The following is a 23761-nucleotide window of genomic DNA, read 5'->3' as shown; positions in this document are numbered from 1 at the left end:
CAAGAAGGCTTTGGCCAATTAATGAGCAGCTCCCTCTCCTAGGAGGAAGGACGTCTAAAGGATGAGGAGGGCAGTAGAACCCCGTACGCTCTGCCCCCTCCCTCCACAGTTGGACCGAAAGGAAGGGGGCTTTCAGACAGGCTTGCCCAGGCTGGGGTCTGAGTGTCACTGTCCAGCCAATGGTCATCCCGCTCCCATCCTCACCTTCTTGCTTAACGGGTGAGCCCAGCTGCTGCCGCAGCTGCCACCCTAGTGAGGGTGAACGAGCAGGAGGCTGCGCTGCACTTCCAGGCTCAGGCTGCCTGGCCAGATCTGCTCTGAGAGCCCTGTAGGCTGATAGAGGCTACCAGGAGGAGGATGGGATGCAGCTGCCAGCCCCCACCTGTGCAAGTCGTACTTCTAAAAGCTTGGGTATATAGTAAATATTAGGTGCTGGGCTGCGGGGCCAGGAAGGGGTATTCTCCTATTTTTCAGGGTTTATTTATTTGATGAGGGAGGGTTATAGGTACAACCAGTTTAAAGATGGAAATTTTTAGAGTGCAGGCAGGGATTTAGGGTAAGCCAAGCAGACTTGTCCAAGCAGCTCTTTTGGGGAGGCCAGAGTCCTGTACCAATGTCCTCAGGCATGTTCAGCAGCTGCTGGGGGAGTGCTGGACAGGATTAAAGCACAGGAGAACTTTCTGGATGACAGAAATGCTCTATATCTTGAAAGGAAGTAGGTTACATGGGTAATGCGTTTGTTAAAACTGATCAAAATGTGCACTTCACATCTGTGCATTTCACTGAATATAAATTATACCTCAAATTAAAAACATTTTTTAAAAGACAGATGGGTCAGGCGCGGTGGCACACGCCTGTAATCTCAGTATTTTTGGAGGCCGAGGCGGGAGGATCACGAGATCAAGAGCTCGAGACCATCCTGGCCAACATGGTGAAACCCTGCCTCTACTAAAAATGCAAAAAAATAGCTGGGTGTGGTGGCACGCGCCTGTAGTCCCAGCTATTCAGGAGGCTGAGGCAGGAGAATCGCTTGAACCCAGGAGGCGGAGGTTGTAGTGAGCCGAGATCGTGCCACTGTACTCTAGCCTGGCGACAGAGTGAGGCTCTGTCCCCCCAAAAAAAAAAAAGCCCTGAGGTGGAAGATTGCCTAGCAGGCTCTAAGAAAACCAAGGAGGCCAGAAGACTAGAGCAGAAACAAAGCAAGGGAGGCAGCAAAGAGCCAGATCATGGAGGGCAAGTGTTAGCAAATTTGTTCTGTGAAGGGCCAGATAGTAAATATTTGAGGCTTTGGGGGTCACGTGGCCTCCATCATAACTAGGCAACACTGCTATTGTAGTGTGAAAGCAGCCACAGACAATACGTAACATATGAGTGTGGTTGTGTTCCAATGAAACTTTATTTACAGAAACAGCTGGCTAACTTGCCATCCAGCTACTGTTTGCCAGCACCTGATGTAGGACCCTGCAGGTCATTGCATGGATTTGAGCATCGACTTTGACTGAGATGGGAGGAGGGGAGACAAAGATTTTGAGCATAAGCTCTGAAAGGACCCCTTTCCCTGTTGCATTAAGAATAGATCATGGGGTACACAAGGATGGAAGCAAGAGAGGGAGTGAGGAAAACAGAAGGCTGATGCAGTAATCCAAGGGGAGATGATGGTGACATTTTGGGTCGGGATGTTGGCATTGCCATTGATAAGAAATCGTTATATTCTGAATATATTTAGAAGACTGAGCTAGCAGGATTTGCTCATGGTAAAGGTGGTAATGTACAAGAGAAGAGTCAAGGGAAACTCTGAGGACTTTAGCCTAGCAACTGGCAGGATGGAGCAGAAAGAGTAAGAGTTCAGTTTCGGACATGTAAATGTGAGATACCACTTAGACGTTCTTGAGGATGAAAACCCTTGAACTGATGTAATCAAGTCAGGTCAGACTGGAAATACAAATTTGGGAGTTGTTGGGGTTTAAATGGTATTAATACATGGGACCAAGGATTGACTGTAGATAGAGAACTAAGAGGTCAAAAGACTGAGCATTTCATTAACAAAAGGCAGGGCAGTAAGAAGGAGCCTGCAAAGGAGACTGAGCTAGCGCAGTAGGAGGAAGAGACTTGGCAGCCAGAAAACCAAGTGAGTGATATATGTCAAGGACTGAGGGGCATCAAATGCAGGCAGAGAAATGCTGTGGGGCAGGGCCACCACAGAGAACACCTTCCCAGGCAATGCCCAGCACAGCCACTGGGGCAGGGCTGCCCCTGAGACCCTGGACCTATACAGCCACCAGTGTGCAATGCCAGGCTGGGAGAGCTGCATGCACAGGACTCCAACCAGTGAGAGCCAGGGCATGGGCTGCACCCAGTAAAGCTATGGGGGTGGAGCTGCCTGGAGCCTTGGGGACCCAACCCTCACCCCAGTGTGACTGGAAGGTGAGACATAAAGTCAAAGACTATCCTCAAGCCTCAAGACTTAATGTTGTTTACCTGGTGTGTTTTGGACTTACTTAGGACTAAGCTACTTCTTCCTATTTCTCCCCTTTAAATGGGAATATCTATCCTATGCCTATTCCACCGTTGTATTTTGGAAGCACGTAACTTGTTTGATTTGACAGCTGGAGGGAAATTTGGCTCAGGATGAATCATACCTTGAGTTGGTCTTACCCATGTTTACAGACTTTGGACTTAGAATTTAAAGTTGATGCCGGAACAAGTTAAGATTTTGGGAGCTATTGGGATGGAATTAATGTGTTCATTTAAGAACGTACACTTGAGAAGCCAAGGGTGGAATGCTATGCTATGATCTGAATGTGTCCTTCAAAATTCCTGTGTAGAAACTTAATGGCCAATGAGATATTAAAAGGTAGGACCTTTAAATGATTAAGTCTTGAAGGCAGAGCCCTCATGGATGGGATCAGCATCCTTATAAAAGGACTGAAGGAGTGAGTTTGATGGCTTTTTGTCCTTCCACCTTCTGCCAAGTGAGGACATAAGGCACCACCTTGAAGCAGAGCAGCTCTTACCACTCAACTTGCCAGCACCTTCATCTCAGACCTCTCAGCCTCCAGAACCGTAGGAAATGTTTCTATTGTTTATAAATGACCCAGTCCCAGGTATTTTGTTATAGCAGCACAGATGGACAAAAGCCAGTGCTTAATGTAGCCCCCAGCCTAGCTCTACCCTGCTGCAGCCAGCTTCTGCAGTAACAGGAATGCAGAGTGCAAACTTCCACAGGCTCTTCTGGACCACTGATTGACCCCTTGTAGACAAAAAAACCAGAAGGGCTTCACCTGTTGCTTTGGTGGAATCTTAGTCCACATTCTCTACCCATCTGGACTAAGGCTTACTGCATTTCCATCAAATCAGTATGAGAGCCTATCAGACAAAAGGCATTTTTCCCTGGATGGGGAGGTTGAAACAATGAGCACCTGGTGGTCACAGAACACTCTGCAGACTGCAGTTTACATTACTGGCTGTATGGAGCTTCTGTTGCTTCTAGATTCACTTCTCCATCATACCTGTCCTCTGCAGCTGATTGTGGATAGTGCTCTACAGCCTACATTAAACCTTTGTTCAGATGACATGAGATCATTTCCCAAAGGGGAAGGAAGGCACAGGCATGAAAATGCTACTGTTTTATGAAATGACAGGGCAATGGGAGAAGGAAATCAAGAGCCCAAAGAGTGAGGACCTCTGCTGTAGACAGCTGCTTGTGAGGGGGTTGGCTGGCTCTGTCCTCTTCACAGCCTGCAGGCCAGTGCTTGCTCACCAGCCCATGTGGACAAGCTGGCCTGGCCTTCACACAGGCCTGGGCCACGGCAAGAGCACAGCAGGATCAGCTCAGGCAGTGCCTGAACAGGAAGGGCCTGGGGAGGAGCCAGGTCCTGCTTCATACCAGTGAAAACCGGAAGGGCTTTGCAAATGGTTAGGGGTTTGTCTTTTCACACTATGGAACCCTCAAATATCTGTCATCGATGCAAAGGAAGGTTCTCAAGAATTTTATTATAAAACAGAACAATGACACAATATAAGCTTACACATTAATATTTACATTATATTCAAAATATATTACAGCTTTAATTTATGAACAGAAATATCCTGTCTTTTCTTCTTTTTCTTTTCTGTTTTCTTTGCATCATTGATTTGCATTTTTACTTGATCTTGTAATTTAGAAAAGAATGCTTGAGAGGACTTTAAGGCCTTGTCTTTACCTTCATCCTGCAATTAAAAACACCACATGCTTATGCTGTAAAATGTACTTATAAGTGAAAAAAGCCAAAAATAGTACATCACCATTACAACAATGTATGCAACCATAAATATGAAAAAGGACTAGAATTACAGAAAACTGAATCAGTTAGCATAGAGGTATTCTGCACTGCTACAATGTTCTTATAATCTAAGAGAGAAAGGAGTGGAAGACAAGCTGCTGCCAGGACCCAGGTTATTGTGAGGACCCTACATGAAAAATTCTAGAACATTAAAGGTTGCGATTCCAGCCAGTCAGCATCATGCATCTCTATCCCGCAGGTGGGCTGTCAGCTGGCTCAGACATTCCAGTCACCCAGCACTTGCTATCCACTTCCCCCACAAAGGTCCCCTTGAGCAGTTTTCTTTCCCTTGTCCTTACCTTTATGAAGGAAGCTTTGCCAGTTTTGGTCAGCTGTTTTAACTTCTCCGAAGCTACTGTTTTGCTGTATTTCCCTGCTTGATCTACACTGCTCTTTTCAAGCAGTTTTCTCCGCTTCTCCTTCTCTTTTATTTTCATACGCTTTTGATATTTCTTTTTCCTTCGCTCTCGTTTCTTGTCTGTAGCTGTTTTTTCAGCAGCTGTTTTTATATCTCCAGCTTTATTTTTCTCCTATTAAAAAAATAACCACCAACATATTCATTCATCAAGTTTAACAACTAGGAAACTGGAATGGAAGAAACTGCAGGGTAGCCAGCAAGCAGGCTGTGCATCTGTGGCCAAATGCACAAAGATGCAGAGCAATCCCCACCTGCATTCCAATGAGCGTTGGTAACTCAGCTCTTTAAAACCTGAAATGCATTCTTTGACAGGCACAGACTCTTATAGTGACGGTTCAGTTCCCAAACTAATTCACAAGAAGGCAACATGGAGAGTTGGGTTCTCAACCTAACAGCACAAGAGGAGCCAGCCCTCCACAGCATTTAGATTCCAATGGGCTTCAGGGACATGCCAGAGGCAGCCTCAGCTCTGAGCTGCTAATGACAGCAACTGGACTGAGGCCAGAGGGCAGAGACCAAGGAACAGAGGAAGGGAAGGGAAACATCTCTCTAGTGAGGATCAATTCTATCTCTTTTCTCCTCAGCTGCCAGCCTATCCTGCCAGGGCTGTCACCTGCACTGAGGTGGCAGAGGCTCAGACAGAAGGGGTGAGTGTAGGTGTAGCAAATCAAGTGAGGAGGGAAAAAGAAGGCCCTGCTGCTAAGCCAGCCAGGAAGATGAGCACCTGGCAGAAACCATTATTACTGTGTAAGGCATAAGCTTCAATGTTCACATGGCAGGGATTGCTGCATTTGATATATCTAGCCTCTTCTGATAACCAAATGCTCGATTCTAGATTCAGATTCCATTACTAATTAGCATTACATGAATAAAATAAGGGGGAAATGCTGACACTAAACTATTGCTAGTATATATGCAATGCAAGCCATTTGTTTTCAACTTAACATCACTGCTAGTATTCAGATTGGATTATAATAAGATATTGATACTAGCTATTTTAAAACTGCTCTTACAGTAACTCTCAAACCTGTACCTCATAATAAAGCCAGAATATAGGAGACTGGTATTTGAATATTATAACATTACTAGTTTGCTTATACTTAGAAACTGCTGAGATACATTGGAATAAGAACTACAAGTGCAAGGCAAATGACGTCAAATAAATGGAGTCTGGCTATGATCAACTAACTTGTAACAGACATTTAAGGTTTCAACATTGGCTTCTTACCTTGATCTCCTCTGGGGCCAGGAGAGCTGCATCACTAACACTCACTGGGGCTACTTCCTCCATGGTTATGGCTGGCAGATTTGACACAACTTTAATCTCTGGTACAGGCTAGAAAAGAGATAATACATTCAATGGGAAGCCAGAAGGGACTCTAACACAAAATGTGTGAACTGTGAACCTATTAACTTAAAGTATAATATATAAAATACTTTATGGAGATTATCTTTTTTTCACTTGCTTGAAAGTCAGCAAACCTAATGGAGACTATTTAAAATGTTAGATATGGTGACAGCCAAAGTCCTAAGTGGACTGGCATGACGGCAGTGCTGAGGGGCAGCACTGCTTCAGGATCCCAGAGACCTGGGTATTTTAGGGTTTTCTGTCTCAAAACCATTCCAACAGCATGTATTTCTTTTTCTTTTTTTTTTTCTTTTGAGACAGAGCCTTGCTCTGTTGCCCAGGCTGGAGTGCACTGGCGCTATCTCGGCTCACTGCAAGCTCCCTCTTAAGGGTTCATGCCATTCTCCTGCCTCAGCCTCCCGAGTAGCTGGGACTACAGGCGCCTGCCATCACACCTGGCTAATTTTTTGTATTTTTAGTAGAGATGGGGTTTCACCGTGTTAGCCAGGATGATCTGGATCTCCTGACCTCGTGATCTGCCCGCCTCGGCCTCCCAAAGTGCTGGGATTACAGGCATGAGCCACCACACCCGGCGTTTTCTACATTTTTACATAACATTTCTGCCATCTTCAAACATCAGTTCTTCCATCTCTTCCTCAACTATTCCTATCTACCATGCATGTGGACATTCTCAAACAACCATTAATGCTGTTTGGTAAGATTTACTGATCTCTATTAATATTATCTTGACTTTGCTTACAGAAAAAAAAGCTAGCTCTAAGAAGTATATGGAAAAAGATGCAAGGAAAGATGCTTACGGGAACAAGAGTCAAAAATAGACTACTGATAAATTTCCTCATCTTTCAACTACTGAAAACATCTCTATAAACAAATATGAAATAATACTGAAAAACTCAAACAGTATCAAAATAAATCAAAGCTATCAATTACAAAAAGGGGGAAAGAATGCAATGTTAATTGAAGGACCATCTGCTTCAGATTTTTGTCTTTTTTTGAAAGAACTACCCAAGAAATCCAGTAATTAAAACAGGTTTCATACTGATCCTGCAACTAAAATGGTGACTATATATTGCAGTTACATTAGCATTCTTTCTTCCTTATCACCATCCTGTCCATGGAGTTATTTGCTCAAGGAAACTTCACAAAGAACAAAAACAAGCCATAAACACAATAGGATCCTGGATTCTAAGTGAGAGAAAAATGAGAGTGTGAAAGAAATCATTTCTTCCACTGGACCACTGTTCAACTGTTATTAAAAACACTGTGTTCCATTCTAGTGTTTAAAGAGAAATATGGAGAAAAAGAAGACAGTCCAAAAAGCCACAAAATGCTGGGCACGGTAACTCACGCCTGTAATCCCAGCACTTTGGGAGGCCAAGGTGGGCAGATCATTTGAGGTCAGGAGTTTGAGACCAGCCTGGCTAACATGGTGAAACCCCGTCTCTACTAAAAATACAAAAAAATTAGCCAGCCGTGGTGGTGCATGCCTGTAGTCCCAGCTACTCGGGAGGCCGAGGCAGGAGAATCGCTTAAACTTGGGAGGCAGAGGTTGCAGTGAGCCAAGATCATGCCACTGCACTCCAGCCTGGGCAACACAGTGAGATTCTGTCTCAAAAAAAAAAAAAAAAAAAGCCACAAAAAATAATGGCTGTGATTAGTAAATGGAGTCTACAGAGATGGTGTGAAATACCAACCTGAACATGAAAAAAGTAATATCAAGGGGAACCTACACTAGCAATTCTACATTTCTTAAGGGAAAAAAGAAAGGCTTTTCATTTGGGCACATAGACACATATACATTCACTTCTCCTTCACTTCCCAGTATTCCAAGGAATGTCTAAAGGCTTCCGTGTGTTAGATCCTAGCTAGTGCGAGGAACAGAGTGGAACAGTAGATGCATTTCGTGCTGCCTGAAGACAAGTAGAGAGCAATGAACAACTAGCGAATGACTGCAAATGTGCAATGCAGCTATGAGGAAAAGGAGCCAAGTGGTGAGACATGCAGCAAGGTGGGAAGGGGAGTCTACCCTAGGTAAGGAGCCAAGGAACATCTGCAAGGAGGGAAAGGCGTCTAGCCTGGGCAATAAGGAGCCAGCCATGCCAAAAAGGAAGTGCAGCCTACTGGGCCAGGGGAAGAGCACAGTGAGAAAGCGCAAGGGACTTGGCCTGCTCAAGGAATCAGAAGATCAGTGGGGGTGGGGGTAGCAAGCCAAGGGAGACCAAAGGGGTGGGAAGAGCCAGATCACACAGGTAAGGCCCAGAAAGGCCCACGTCCTTCATCTCAGTAAGACCTGCTGGACAAGAGGAGTTGAGAAATTCCACTCATCTCTTCACCTGTTTATTTTACACAGCCCATAGCAGGGACTTTGGGAATCTAAAGATGGTTCCTGCCATCAAGAACTTACTTGCATGTAATTACAACTGGATTAAAAGCATACATATATACCAAAAAAAAAACCAAACAAACAAAAAAAAACAACCAGGTTAAAAAAGCTTACTGTCTGAGAAGATAAAATATTTGCATGGGAATCACCTAGCCATCAACTAATAATAAAGGATCTTGGAGATTAGCTCTTCGGTACAAATGAAACGTAAAGCGATTGCCTGCATCATAAAGCTAGTTAGGAGCAGAACTCAGCTCAGGTTCTGACTTCTAGACTAGTCTTTAATTCATGACATTCCATTTCAGACAACAACACAGGCACCAAAGGGCAACAGGTGAACAAGTACCAAAGGATGGTACAAGCATGTTTTATGGGTTCACAGAAGCTGGTAAGCAGGAGATGAGGCTCCAAGGAATAGACAGGTAGAGCCAAGTCTGGGTGACAGACAGACAGGGGAGGAGCATTTGAGAGGGCTGGGCCTGGTGAAGGAACATCATGCGGAGACAGCTGGGCCCAGAGTTAGTTCTCACTCTCCCACCTCCTAAACCTTGGTTTTCTCCCCTGTGAAATGGAAACTATAGTACCTGCCTCAGTGTTGTGTGCATTAAGTGTTAGTGTATGTAAAGAACCTAATATGACACATAGCAGATACTCCATAAATGCTGGTATAGATATCCATACATCTCCAAACCCATTATACAATGAAAATGCAACAGAAGACTGAGAGGGTAGGGAAAGGAGGAGTCCCTGTGGCTACGGCTGAGGATCTTTTAAAGTGTGAGGTAAGTTAAAACAGTAAGAGGCAGTACTAGCATGATGCCTGACCATGCCCAGCCCCAGCTGGCAGGGGCTCACTGAAGATCTGGGTAGAGCCAGAACTGTCATGGGACCAGAAGTGAGCTTTCCTCATGGAGACCCTGCCTGGAATTTACAGCAAACTACAAGTTTGTATCCTGAAACAAAATAAAGAGCTAGTCTCACAAAGGATCAAAGCTATGAAGGTCACCCTGCTCTAGCTACACACTGAACTGTTAACACACTTACCGGTTTAGGGATAAAGTGGAAGTTTGAGAGGGCATCCAATTTTAAGAAGAGGGAATCCATCATCTTCTGAATTTCTACATGTTCTGGATTTTCTTCTTCTGCTGTTTTTTGCTTAGGAAATAAGTTCAACAATGTCAAACTAAGCGACTTGATATATATCACAGGACAAAACACTAAAGGTCAATGAGAGTATTTCTAACTTCTCATCACTAAAGCTTCAGCTACAAAGAAACATTCCAAAAGCAAAATTAAAAGCAGCAGTACCATGAGGGTTCCAGCACCTACCAGAGATGTGATGTGCATTTTAGGAGCTACAGTAACCATTACCTCTAATACTCAGAACTTAAAAATTTAATTACCTTGGTATTTACTTCTGTCAAAAACTAAGCTATTCCTAAGATGGCTACAGTTGTTTTTAAAAGGAAAATAGCAAGTGATAACAAGTGTTGGCAAGGATGGAGAAACTGGAACCCTTGTGCATTGTTGATAGGTAGGAATGTAAAATGATGCGGCCACAGTGGCAACAAGCTTGGCAGGTCTTCAAAAAGCTACACAGAGAATTACCATCTGACCCAGCAATGCCACTCCTAGGTGTACAACCAGGAGGATTAAAAATAGATACTCAAACAAATACATGTACATGGCACTATTAACAGTCAAAAGGTGGAAACAGCCTGAATGTCCACCAGTGGATAAGCAGATAAACTGTGGTAAATACACACAACGGAATACCGTGTAACCATAAAAAAGAAATGAAGCACTGACAAATGCCAGTCTTGAAAACACAACACTAACTGAAAGAGGTCAGAAATGGAAGGCCACATATGGTATGGTTCCATTTATATCAAATACTCAAAATAGGCCAATCCACAGAGATAGAATGCAGACTGGGGTTTGTTGGGGCTGGGGCAAGTGAGGAAAGGGTAGCAACTGCTTAATGCGTATGGGGCTTTATTGTGGGCTGATAAAAATGTTTTAGAACTAGAGAGAGCTAGTAGTTACATAACACTGTCCTAAATGCTCCCAATTTGTTCACTAAGTGGTTCATTTTATGTTATATAAATCTCACATCAATTAAAAAGAAAAAAAATGGCCCAGCATGGTGGCTGGCTGGGCGCGGTGGCTCATGCTTGTAATCCCAGCACTTTGGGAGGCCGAGGCGGGAGGATCACGAGGTCAGGAGATCGAGACCATCCTGGCTAACATAATGAAACCCTGTCTCTACTAAAATACAAAAAATTAGACGGGCTTGGTGGCATGTGCCTGTTACTCAGGAGGCTGAGGCAGGGGAATTGCTTGGACCCGGGAGGCAGACGTTGCAGTGAGCTTAGATCACGCCACTGCACTCCAGCCTGGCAACCGAGCAAGACTCCGTCTCAAAAAAAAAAAAAAGAAAAAAAAGAAGTAAAGTGTTAATATAGACTTCATAAAATTATCCAAATACCCATTTGGATGGTAGGGACTTTTTTGTTCTTTTATTTACATGTAATGTGTTAAAGATTTATTCTCACAAATCACATTGAAAAAACTGACAGCAATTTTAATTCTACTGAAGAGAAAAAGAAAATTTCATGCTTCTCTCTCTGTCCCCTTTGGCCCCAAATGCTTATTCTAAATGCCTAAGAGGGCTTTTTGTTTGTTTGTTATTAAGACATGAAAAAAAGAAACCCACCAGAACTAGGAAACGATAGGCTCTTTGCCTCCTGATCCTGATGACAGAGATGCATTCAGGTCTGTTTCCAATGTCCATCATCAGCACCCACCTTCCAGCCATAGTCAGGCATCACGCTACTACTGCTTACTATTTTAACGTACCTCACACTTTAAAAAATCCTAAACATGTCCTTTCACCTCATTCTAGGTAACAATATCTGTAAAATCAAATATGTAGCTATATATTGGCTACACAGCATTTTTCTGAGCCACATTACATACACAAATGTGAGTAAAGGGTCCTACATGTGCTGTTTACCATCATTTCACTTCTAGAACTAGCCTAGCTACTAGAACTCCAAGTCCATCCTCAAAAACTTCTGAACTGGCTGTTGACTTCTAAGAGAGAAATGAAACTAACATTTAGAGCTGGCATAAGCTATTGCATTACCTATCTAATTTTTAATTCTCGTGGTCATCAAATACCTTCTGTATCTACCCAATCTCCTCAAAGATTCAAATGAAACTGTACACATCCTCCTTCAGCTACCACCTTGGATTGCAAGGCAGCCAGGAAGAATTTTAATTCAAATCTTTTCAGTTCTTCAGTTTCACAGTGGCATCAGGGCAATTTGCTGTTGCTAACTGAGGGGCATTCATTAACAAAATCTGGTGGGAATCGTAAATGGCTTTTGCAGAAGAAAAATGCCATCTGATCCCTAAGTACCCACATTCCCAATAAATCAAATGTGAAGGAATAATTCGATTATTATATCAGCATATAATATTCCTAGGAATAGGACCTTGTCCTATTATTTAACCAGCGATTTCTTCCTTTCTTTCTTTCTTTTTTTGAGATGGAGTCTCACTCTGTCGCCCAGGCTGGAGAGCAGTGGCGCGATCTGGGCTCACTGCAACCTCCACTTCCCTGGTTCAAGCAATTCCCCTGCCTCGGCCTCCCAAGTAACTAGGATTACAGGCACATGCCACCACGCCCGTCTAATTTTTTCGTATTTTTAGTAGAGATGGGGTTTCACTATGTTGGCCAGGCAGGTCTAAAACTCCTGACCTCAAGCAATCCGCCCGCCTCAGCCTCCCAAAGTGCTGGGATTACAGATGTGAGCCACCATACCCAGCCCAGAGATTTTAGTTAAGTGAAAGAAAAAACAGACCTAAAAATCAGAATGAATTCATAATCATGTAAAATATATCAGTTACTTCAAAATATCAATGAGAAATGCTTTTAAAGTTGTAGCACCACCATAATTGCTAGAAAGTTAATGAGTTGTAAAAGTATCAGGTGACCAAAGTCTAATTGCAAAGCAACCCCCCTCAACCCCTCACATCCAGCGGGAATATTAGAACCCTTCTATTCCTAGCATGCTCTGTCTCATACTTACATGAGGTAGCCAAAGAGCTCAAGATTTCTGTTTCACGATTTCAACAGTCACAAAAAGCCTAGTTCTCTACTTCTATTTCTTTAATAATAATGGCTTGGCCTTACAGGCTTCCTCACCTGGTTGAGTTTGATGTACTCCTGTTCATAAATTTCAGCAAGGCTCAATTTACTCTTCTCATGGTCTAAGGTTAAACGCTTTTTATATTCATATGCATCCTCTTTAGGTTTTTCTTTACGTACTACATCATCCCAAGCCTGAAACATAAAGTGCAGGTAGAACATAACAAAACCTACAATTTATTTCTAGGTTCACTTAAGAATCTTCCTCTGGAATATTATTATAATAAATATTATCAATATATTAATAAATTATCATTAATATATTAATAGTAAATTATATCATTGTTATAATAAATATTTATTATTACTTATTACAGAGTAAGCAAATTATAGCAAAAAGAAAATTTTCAACTCCTGAAATAACTATTCAAGTCACAAAGAATAAACATTAGGAAAGCAAAGAAACCATTACTCAAATATCTTTTTCTGTTTTAAATGAGTCTTCCTACCTGGTTACCAACTTTAATTCCACATTTCCCCATCACAGTTTGTTTAAAAGTCAAGCCTTGAGTTAGTTTATCATGTTTCATTTCAAATTTTAAGATGTTCTGCACATGATACTCACCCTTTAAACCCTTTCTATTTTAGACCCACAAGTGTAGGCAAACATTATACACATGTTATAAGGCCATCTCTTACTGTACATGCCATATATCTAAGTTTTATTCTAAGTTTACAAAATCAGATCAATTCTTCAACAAAAACCACTAGGTTTTTAACATTTGAAAAAAATACACCATTGAGAAATGGTTTTAAAATTGTAGAACTACCACAATGCTAGGGTTTGAATGTCCCCTCCAAAACTCATGTGGAAACTTAATCCCTGATGTGGCAACACTCAGATGTGGGGCCTTCTAGGACGTGACTGGATCACCAGGGTTTTGCCCTCATGAATGGCAGTTGCATTTATGGATTAATGGGTTATCATCAGTGGGGGAATGGTGGCTCTTAAGAAGAGCAAGAGACACCTGAGCCAGCATCTTAGCATGCTCAGCCCTTTCACCATGTGATGCCCTGCACCACCTTGGGACTCTGCGGAATCCCCACTGGTAAGAAGGCCCCTCGACCTTGGACTTCTCAGCCTCCATAACTGTATTCCTTTTAAGTCACCCAGCTTCAGATATTCTGTTATAAGTAACAGAAAAAAGACTAGGACATATATACTGAATAATTTACCACACCAGATACTGTGCCTAAGCCAAGGGTTCTGGGTGCAACCATCACAGGTCAGCCACCAGCTTCACTGAGCACCGCCCAAAAGGTCAGCAAGACTCACGAGAAAGGATAATGGCTTCTTGCTCCTCTCAGGCACAATACTCGTCTTTCCTGGATACTACTGAAGAGCAGTACCTCACACAACAAAAGCTGACTAGGTAGCCTAGATTTAAGGTTTGTGAACACTAAGTGAAAATAAAAAGCAATAGTCCTACTCTCAAAGTACTCTCACATTATTTCTAAAAATCTTGGTGACATTTTGATTAAGTTAAATTTAATTCTTACTGACCTGATCTCTTATCCTCTGTTTAATGATATCTTCCAGTTGAAGGGTGGTTTCCTCTGTAATCACAGGTGCTAAAGGATATACAACGTTTATTCATTAGGTAGATATCCACTAGACCATTGATTCAGTGCAGTCCTTGGACCCACAGCATCAGCAACACGTGGGAACTTGTTAGAAATGCAAATTCCTGGGCCACCCCCATACTTCCTGAATCAGAAAGTGGGGAAGAGGGACAGCTATCTGTGCTTTAACAAGCCTTGTGATGCTCCCTGAAGTTTGAAAACCACAAAACTAGGATACATATGGTAGTAAGTGCTAATACTTTACCCAAGGTACCCAGGGACTCTTCCCCTCTTTTCCATTCTCTCTTCCATTGAAATAAAATGAAAACTCATTTTGATGTAATGGGTACAAGAAAGAAGTCAATGAGATGACCACAGTTTCAGGTTGAAGTTCAAAATTTAATCAGTGGACCATGACAGGATGCAAGCCTTCAAAACAGATTACTACAAGAAAGCTGATTACAAACTATACATTAGGTATCATTAGCGTATTGTTAAATTTTTTGGGTGGATTAATGGTACTGTGATTACATAGGAGAATGTCCTAGTTCTTAGACGATATCTGCAAAAGTACTTAAAAGTGAAGTGCCATGAGATTGGCAACTTACTTAAAAAAAGGGCACATATACAATCTTACATATGCTAGGGAGAGAAAGCAAATATAACAAAATGGTAACTGGTGAATCCAATTGAATAGCATATAGGTGTTCACTGTAGTATTTTTTCAACTCTTCTGTGTTTATAAGTTGATTTTTTCTTTTTTGACAGAGTGTCGCTCTGTTGCCCAGGCTGCCCACGCTGGAGCACACTGGCACAACCTTGGCTCACTGCAACCTCCCCTTTCTGGGTTCAAGCAATTCTCCTGCCTCAGCCTTCCGAGTAGATGGGATTCTGAAATCTGCCACCGTATCTGGCTGATTTTTGTATTTTTAGTAGAGACGGGGTTTCACCATGTTGGCCAGGCTGGTCTCAAACTCCTGACCTCAGGTGATCCGTCTGCCTCGGCCTCCCAAAGTGCCGGGATTACAGGTGTGAGCTACCATGCCAAGCCATGTGTTTACAAGTTTTTAAAATAAAAAGTTGAGGGAAAAGAAACACCACCCCAAATCTTTGTATGAAATGGAACCATGGAAAAAGCACAGACATGAAAACTACAGAAGAGGGCACCATACCCATCCGGACAGCATGGTCAAAGTGTAGGGTCTCCTCCAGGAGGCTGTTCTCTGGCCTCTTCTGTGCTGTCACTTCCCCCTGAAGCTGCCACGGCTTTTTTTCTAACAACTCTTTTTCTAAAGATGCAATTTTTTCATTCATCTAAGAAAGAGATAAAATAACTAGTATACATTTAGAAAATAAAATCTTATATTTGTGTAAAAGCAAAAAATAATTTAAAAAGTGGGAAAGCAAGAAACGTACTGTTCTACGATTCTGTTCTTGCCATCTTTTTATTCTGTCGATGACTTCCTATTTCTGCTGCCTATGGTGGGGTGAGCTGCAAACAATTTCTTTTCCTGATTAATTTAAAATGCCATGTTTATAATATACTAAACGCCCCCAGAAGCTTTTGAGTTTGTTTCTGGGCTCTATTCTATTCAAGTGATCTATCTATTCGCAAGTCAAGTAATTCTTTGATTAGAATATTAGTATCTGATGGAGTCTGACCCTTTTGACTCCAAACTCAAATTCTTACTCTAACTTCTTTTTTTAAAATTTTTTTGAAGCAGAGTCTCGCTCTGTCGCCTAGGCTGGAGTGCAGTGGTGTGATCTCAGCTCACTGCAACCTCCGTCTCCTGAGCAATTCTCCTGCCTCAGCCTCCCGAGTAGCTGGAATTACAGGCGTGTGCCACCACGCCCGGCTAATTTTTGTATTTTTTAGTAGAGACGGGGTTTCACCAAGTGCTGGGATTACAGGCGTGAGCCACCATGCCTGGCCATTATCTCTAACTTTTAAAAGACAACAATGATGACTTCAGTGTATAAAATGCCAGCCTTTTCAGCTACCTTACAGAATTCTCTTATTTTCCTAATATCAATTCAGTTTATCCATTCGGTTTCCTCTCCAAATACCAACACTTTCATTTTTCACTCTTAGTGGAATATAAATACATCTGCAGTATTCCTAATCTTTTTTTTTTTTTTTTTTTTTTGAGACAGTCTCGCTCAGTTGCCTAGGCTGGAGAGCAGTTGCGTGATCTCAGCTCACTGCAACCTCCACCTCCTAGGCTCAAGCAATCCTCTTACCTTGGACTCCCAAATAACTGGGACCACAGGCGCGTGCAACCACGCCTGACTAATTTTTGTATTTTTTGTAGAGACGAGGTCTTACCATGTTGCCCAGGCTGGTCTCGAACTCCTGAGCTCAAGCAATCCTCCTGCCTTGGTCTCCCAAAGTGTTGGGATTACAGGCATGAGCCACCGCACCTGGCAGTTTTCCTCATCTCTTATCTTTATCTTTTGTAGTTACACTGGCCTATGCGTCTAAAAGAATGTTAATCAACAGTGGTAATTGTAATACTGGACATCTTGTCTTATTCCTGATCTTAAAGGGATGTTTCTAGAATGATGCATGCATCATGCATGATGGCAGTTTTTGGCTTAAATGTATTTATATTCCGCTAGGAGTGAAAAAAAAAATTAGAAATGAATATTGAATTTTATCAAATGTCTTTCTGACATATATGGAGGTGACTATATGTTTTTTCTCCTTAATGTCTTGCAGTCAGGAATCATACTAGATTTTCTAATACTGATTCAAGAGAATAAGGTTCATGCAGTTGTGTGGCATCATTTTTCCACTGTGCTGTAGGATTTTTGCATCACTGTTCATGAATGAGACTGTGCTCTGTGTGTGTGTGTGTGTGTGTGTGTGTGTGTGTGTGTGTGTGTGTGTTTTAATGCTACCTCTGTCAGGTTTGGGTTTTCATGACCTAACAGTTTCAAAAAAAAAAAAAAAAAGGTTGAAAGTTCTACTTTATTCTTTATATGTGGAAATTGAAATAAATTATTTTTGATTTATTGAAACTTAACTTGAAGGTCTGATATAATTTCACAATAAAACCAAACCTTTCTTTCTTTATTTGTTGGGGAAGGGCGGGAGGAGTGGGGTGGAAGGATACTAACTCATTGATATTTTATAATGGTGCTTTTTTTCCCTTAGAATTTCTCTATCTTCTGGGGACAATCTGACAACCATGGATTTAATTCAGATTCTTAGATTTTAAAAACAATTCTTTTGATATTCTTGGTATCTTTCATTCTCTGCCTGTTCTCTTTTTTTTTTTAATTTTTTCAGACAGTCTCTAGCTCTGTTGCCCAGGCTAGAGTGCTGTGGTGCAATCATAGCTCACTGCAGCCTTGAACTCCTGGACTCAAGAGATCCTCCCCCATCAGCCTCTCGAGTAGCAAAGACTATAGGCACACACTACCATTCCCAGCTAACTTTTTTAATCTTTAGTGGAGACGGGCTTTTGCCCTGTTGCCCAGGTTGGTCTCGAATTCCTGGGCTCCAAACAATCCTCCCTCCTCAGCCTCCCAAAGTGCAGGTGTGAGCCACTGTGCCTGGCCCTATTCTCATTTTTATTGTGATAAAAATTTTAAGGTAAATAAATGATAGAGCCAAATTATTAGAGCCAGACTACATCTACAAAAATTTAATGAAATTTCACTTGTCTGAAATCATGACACAAAGAAACAATTTTTACCAACTTTGAAAGATATGTTTGTGATGGTATAAATTAAAATTCTGGCTATTTGGCACTCACAAAAATCTGTGGAGCACCTTAAAGACATAGGTGGTATCCGCTGGGCGCAGTGGCTCACGCCTGTAATCCCAGCACTTTGGGAGGCCAAGGTGGGTGGATCACCTGAGGTCAGGAGCTTCAGACCAGCCTGGCCAACATGGTGAAACCCCGTCTCTACTAAAAATACAAAAAAATTAGTTGGGCGTGGTGGCGGGCATCTGTAATCCCAACTACTCAGGAGGCTGAGGCAGGAAAATTGATTGAACCTGGGAGGTGGAGGTTGCAGTGAGCTAAGATCACGCCACTGCACTCCAGCCTGGGTGACAAGAGTGAAACTCTGTCTCAAAAAAAAAAAAAAAAAGAAAAAGAAAAAGAAAAGACATATGTGGTATCCTCCAAAACAGTGGAAACAGTTAAGATGCTCACAGGACAGCTTTATCAGGAGAGACATGCTATACATATAAAGATATTAGGGACAGAGAAAAAAACAATTATCTTTAAAAATTTTTTTATTTTTGAGACAGAGTCACACTCTGTCGCCCAGGCTGGAGTCCAGTGACACCATCTCGGCTCACTGCAACCTCCGCCTCCTGGGTTCAAGGGATTCTCCTGCCTCAGCCTCCCGATTAGCTGGGATTACAGGTGCCCGCCACCACACCTGGCTACTTTTTTTTTTTTTTAGTAGAGATGGGGTTTTACCATGTTAGCCAGGCTGGTCTCGAACTCCTGACCTGAAGTGATCCACCTGCCTCAGCCCCGAAAAGTGCTGGGATTACAGGCATGAGCCACCACGCCCAGCAGAAGCAACTATTTTACTCACAGGCCCCAAACTGAAATGCAGGCACTGATTTTGCAAATCAGATGCTTTCCATATGGCAAGATTTTTGGTTTTTTGTTTTAAGACAAGGTCTTGCTTGCCGCCCAGGCTAGAGAGCAGTGATGCAATCTTAGCTCACCGCAGCATCAACCTCCTAGGCTCAAGTGATCCTCCCACCTCAGACACCAGAGTAGCTGGACTACAGGCACACATCACCATGCCCAGCTAATTTTTGTATTTTTGGTAGAGACAAGGTCTCACTATGTTGCCTAGGCTGGTTCTGAACTCCTGAGCTCAAGCGATCCTCTTGCTTTGGACTACCAAAGTGTTAGGATTACAGGCGTGAGCCACTGCACCTGGCCAAGATATTTGTTTTCAAAGGATGGTTAATAGTTTTCAAAGGATGGTTAATATCAAGTATATTAAAAATTCCTTAAATTACTAATTACCTTTTCCTGTCTTTTTTCAAAGGAGGATTTAACTTCATCAGAATTTTTCTTTACATTTAAAACACCTGTATCTTCAGTTTCCGCATCATCTGGTAAAGCAAAGGTCACTCTTTTCAAGCTTTCTTTATGTTGTTTATTGTCTTCATTTTCTTGAAGGTCATCATCTTCATCCCTACAATACCAAAACTCTTATAAAAAGAAATATACTACTTTCCATTAGAAAAACAAAAGGAAACAAATTTTCCCTTAATAAAGTTCTTATTTTATATACCTAATGCAACCAAATACTCAGAACTTCCAAAATCATTCAGTTATTAAGGAACAAAAGGTATTATTTAGGTAAAACGCTATGTAAGAAACAGAAAAAAAAGTGTCCAACATATAGAAAATAAATTATTCATCAATCTATAATACAAATCTCTTATCTCACAAAAATAACAGGATTTTATTGACACAAAACCAAATCAAAGTTCCTGGTAAGGAAGGTTTGATTGCTACTACCAGAGATATTTTTCTTCATTAAGTGATCTCTAATGTCCCTTTACAGTCAGAGACTTTCCTCTGGCTATCTTGAGAATATCTGATATTAGAGAATAGAACTTGCTAAGACAAACACATTTGATAACTACGAGTACACACACATGATTGGGCAATTCCAGCTTACAATGTAAAGGATGGTTCAAAATACTCACGTTTCCGAAATACTTAGTTCTTCTGCTTCTTCTTCAGCAATTTCATCATCTTCTTTGTTTGAATCCAGCTCATCATCATGAACATTTGTTATGTCTTCATCACTTTCAACTGGATCAAAAAAATCTTTGTATTTCAGATTTCTGGAACTTTTACCTGACTAAAATAAAAAGATATTAAAAACTATTAATTAGGGATAGAAAAATATATTAACACATGCATATAGATTTGCATGTATATTGTATGTATATATTACTTTCTGACTTAATAACACTACAAGCTAATAACTAATAACCAAACTAATAACTAAATAATTATTAGGTGAAAATGGCAACTAATAACACTACCACAAAATTATAAGACCAACTGGAACATAAATTGAATGGAAGTACAGATTCATTTATAACTGATAAGATAGAGCACAATATTTCTTATCACTAAATCTTCTAACTACAATTAAATCTCTCCTAGAAAAACAGAAGAAAAGCTAATTTGAGGAGGAAAGTGCTCTCTCTTCTCTCAAAACTTTACCTTAAGTTTTTTACTTCCAAACAGTCCCCCTTCATCTTCATCAGAATCAATATCTTCAAAAAAATCAATATCTTCCTCCTCCTCATCATTATCATCTTTTCGTTCCTCTTCTTTTTCTATGTTTTCTAAATAGGCCTCCATTTCAGAGAGTTTGAAGAATTTATCATCTACTATGGACTTTTCTCTTGGTTTTCCCTGTCCTTTGTTTTGCACCTTGCTCTGCTGTTCCAATTTGCTGATATCAAAGTCAAGGTCAGAATCCTCATCACTGAAAACGGGGCTTTTCCTCAGATCAGATTTGCTTGAGTTTTCAGCTCTCTCACCCATTTCAGGATCATCATTACCCATGTCGGACACTTCCTCCTCCTCTAAATCTTCTAGGTCCTCCTTGTCATCAGCCTCTATCTCTGAACCATCCTCTTCACGTTCCTGTTCTTCACTCTCTGGGAGAAGACTGATATCTTCATCATTAATTGTTTCACTAACTGCATTCTGAAAGTATTGTAAAATTGGTTCATTTTGCAATTCCAGTTGTTGCCAAATCTGCTCATCATCAAAATTTTCTATCACAAGTTTTTGCAAGGGGCTTCCATGGATCCTACCATTCTCTAATATTTTATTAAAGTCATAAAGCACTTTTGTTAAAGAAGTGAACTTTGATGCCAATCCCTCTTGAATCCTATTGGGAGGAATTAAGTGAGATTTAGAATTACAGGTAATAATTTCACAGCACTCTTAATAAAAATAAAAAAAACCCAACTCTTTTGTAAAATAAAATTTGAATGAAGTATAAGTATAGATTCTGGCCCCCAACAACATATAAGCTGATGAGCTACACTGATATATAAAACCTGTCAACCAAGTATCTGTGAATCGGCTGTATAGATTTTAGGCAGGAAAACCATTATAAATCTATTTGCTTGGAGATATATAGTGAATTAACCTTAAATTATCAATTCTGCTACATTATATACCACTCCATTCATTTGTTCACTTATTCATTCAATGATCAACATTTGCTTTGGCTACAGTGGTCAAGGAAAACCTCTCTTAGATGTCACATCTGAGAGGAAACCTACAGATAAGGAGATAGTCTTATAAAGGTTGGGAAACATGTATTCCAGGCAGAAGAAATCCTCTAAGATGCAAATCCTCTAGAGGTGAGCTTGAGGAAACAAACAGGTGACCATGGCTAGAGTGTGAAGGAGGCAGAGGGTGAAGCTGGAGAGACTGATGGGAGCCAAATTATGCATGGTTCAGGAGTAAGAATTTGTCATTTAAAGTGTAAAGAGAAAACATTTTAAGCAGAGGGATGAAATGATGATTTACACGAAGGAAGGAGAAAGGGACGAGGGAGGAGGAGGAAAGTACAGTGATTAGAAGGTTGATGCAGCATTCCAGCGAAAGGATAATGGTGATTTAGACTGGAGTTAGAGCAGTGAATATGCTGAGTATAGTTTGGAGGTAGAACTGACAGGATTGCTAAAGAATTAGATATAGAATAGAGAAAAATGAAGACATTAAAGTAGCAGCCTAGTTTTATGTTTGAGTACCTGAAAAGACAGAAGTGCCATTTACTGAGATAGGGAAGGCTTGGGTGGTGGTGTCAGGCCTCTGAGCTGAAGCTCAGCCATTGTAACCCCTGTGACCTGCACATATATGTCCAGATGGCCTGCAGGAGCCAAGAAGTCTGGGGCAGCCGAAAAACCACAAAAGAAATAAAACAGCCAGTTCCTGCCTTAATTGATTAATCAACATTACAACATTCCTCCATTGTGACTTGTCCCTGCCCTACCTTAACTGATCAATCGACCTTGTGACATTCTTCTTCTGGACAATAAGTCTTATGATCTCCCCACCATGTACCTTGTGACCCCGTCCTCCTCTGCTAATAGATAACCACCTTTTACTGTAATTTTCCATTACCTACCCAACTCCTATAAAGCAACCCCTTCCCCATCACCATTAGTTGACTCTCTTTTCGGACTCAGCCCACTTGCACCCAAGTGAATAAACAGCCTTGTGGCTCACACAAAGCCTGTTTTAGTGGTCTCTTCACACAGACGCGCTTGACAGGTGTAGCATGGGAAAAGGACTTCAGGGGATGGCAGAGTATAGGTGGGTAGAAACAACAATTCTATTAAACAGACACAACAGCTCTATTTTGGACGCAGTGAATTTGAGATGCTTGACAGTACCAAAATTTTAAAAATCGTTAAAAGTTGTACAGTGTGGATATCCCAGTTGTGTGCTACGGAATTCAAACTAAGCTCAGTCTGTAGTTGCTGTGAGCTGGGAACTCAGGGAAAGGTTGGGGTTTGAAACATAAATGAGTAATAATTTCATAGATCACATTTTAAATTCTTCAACAAAATACATATAAAACGCTTGTGTTGGGAAGAGACATGGAAGTTCTATTTCTGAAGAAGCTTAGTCATGGGGGGTGGACAGACAAGTGACAAGTTCGTACTTTCAATAAAGTATGCTAAGCGCTAAGTGCTTTGAGAGCACATAGGAGGAAGGAGAAACCAACAGTCTGTGTGTAGAGGGATGGGGGCGTAAGAAGCCCAAGGGAAGCTTCTAGGTGTTAACAATTGAGGTTAGAGTGATTTCAGTAACACTCAACTGAGAGATCCATCTATACAAATTTTAACAGTTTTTAAAATTTTGATAGCCTAGGAAAGCATAAACTCTGAAATTTGGGGAAAAGCGATTTTACGTTTCCCCTTACCTTCCCCCAGCTCCACAATTTGCCGGAGGCCTGCAACCCGCGTCCACGTGAGACCCCGGTCGCACCCCGAGCCCGGGATCTGCGCACTTACGTGAGGAAGCACTCGGGCCGACCCGTGGCTTTGCCGACTTCCGTCAGACACCGCTCCAGGGTCCGTCGACGCCAGACCTGCGGCGCCATGGCTGTCAGCAACTCCCGACACAATGCAGCATGCAAGGGAAGGGAGCCGCCCGGAAACCGCGCGGCAAAGATGCGCCCAGCGCAACTTGGATTTCAGAGCCGAAAGTTCCGCGGCGCACAGGTTCCGGACTCGCCCTCAGCCAGAGCCAATGGCAGCGCGAGCGCTTTCGCAGGAGGGTGGGAAACAAAAATCTCCATGGTCAGCCCAAACGCCTTTCAACTCTCTCCAAACTTCGTTTTGTATTTTTCAGGGGCCCACAAAGGGTGACCCGTCCTGGCCTTACGTTTCTGTTTTAGCTAAAGTAGGCCCGTTGTAGCAGGAAAGCAGCGACCTTCGCCACGCCCCTGACCT

At 41.8% G+C, this 23761-nt stretch overlaps 1 protein-coding gene across 1 annotated transcript, besides 3 other annotated features; it reads right to left on the bottom strand.

The window, feature by feature from the left end:
* Window positions 2378-2437: an enhancer, noted in NCBI's record as "active region_16016". NCBI's record gives its function as "activates an Ori minimal core promoter by ATAC-STARR-seq in GM12878 lymphoblastoid cells {active_cell/tissue: GM12878}" and the evidence as "EXISTENCE:reporter gene assay evidence [ECO:0000049][PMID:35858748]".
* On the bottom strand, window positions 3974-23441 carry MPHOSPH10 (M-phase phosphoprotein 10). Its single transcript, NM_005791.3, has 11 exons — window positions 23321-23441; window positions 20499-21177; window positions 19970-20127; window positions 19278-19449; window positions 15444-15585; window positions 14213-14280; window positions 12706-12843; window positions 9537-9647; window positions 5969-6076; window positions 4622-4852; window positions 3974-4209 (listed from the first exon to the last, which is right to left on the bottom strand). Exons 1-11 carry the CDS (start codon window positions 23407-23409, stop codon window positions 4060-4062), a joined length of 2046 nt encoding a protein of 681 aa, NP_005782.1. The 5' UTR covers window positions 23410-23441; the 3' UTR covers window positions 3974-4059.
* Window positions 23244-23293: an enhancer, noted in NCBI's record as "active region_16015". NCBI's record gives its function as "activates an Ori minimal core promoter by ATAC-STARR-seq in GM12878 lymphoblastoid cells {active_cell/tissue: GM12878}" and the evidence as "EXISTENCE:reporter gene assay evidence [ECO:0000049][PMID:35858748]".
* Window positions 23394-23443: an enhancer, noted in NCBI's record as "active region_16014". NCBI's record gives its function as "activates an Ori minimal core promoter by ATAC-STARR-seq in GM12878 lymphoblastoid cells {active_cell/tissue: GM12878}" and the evidence as "EXISTENCE:reporter gene assay evidence [ECO:0000049][PMID:35858748]".

Source organism: Homo sapiens, chromosome 2 (genome assembly GCF_000001405.40).
Source record: "Homo sapiens chromosome 2, GRCh38.p14 Primary Assembly".
Lineage (NCBI taxonomy): Eukaryota > Metazoa > Chordata > Mammalia > Primates > Hominidae > Homo > Homo sapiens.
This window is presented reverse-complemented; position numbering and strand designations above follow the sequence as displayed.

Excerpts from the sequence above, each read along its gene's own strand:
- MPHOSPH10 (NM_005791.3), bottom strand. The coding sequence starts at position 23,409 with ATGGCGCCGCAGGTCTGGCGTCGACGGACCCTGGAGCGGTGTCTGACG. Across the intron at positions 20,128-20,498 it reads TTGGAAGTAAAAAACTTAAG|TCAGGTAAAAGTTCCAGAAA; the intron begins GTAAAGTTTTGA and ends TTTTTATTTTAG. Across the intron at positions 12,844-14,212 it reads AACAGAGGATAAGAGATCAG|GCTTGGGATGATGTAGTACG; the intron begins GTCAGTAAGAAT and ends TTTATGTTTCAG.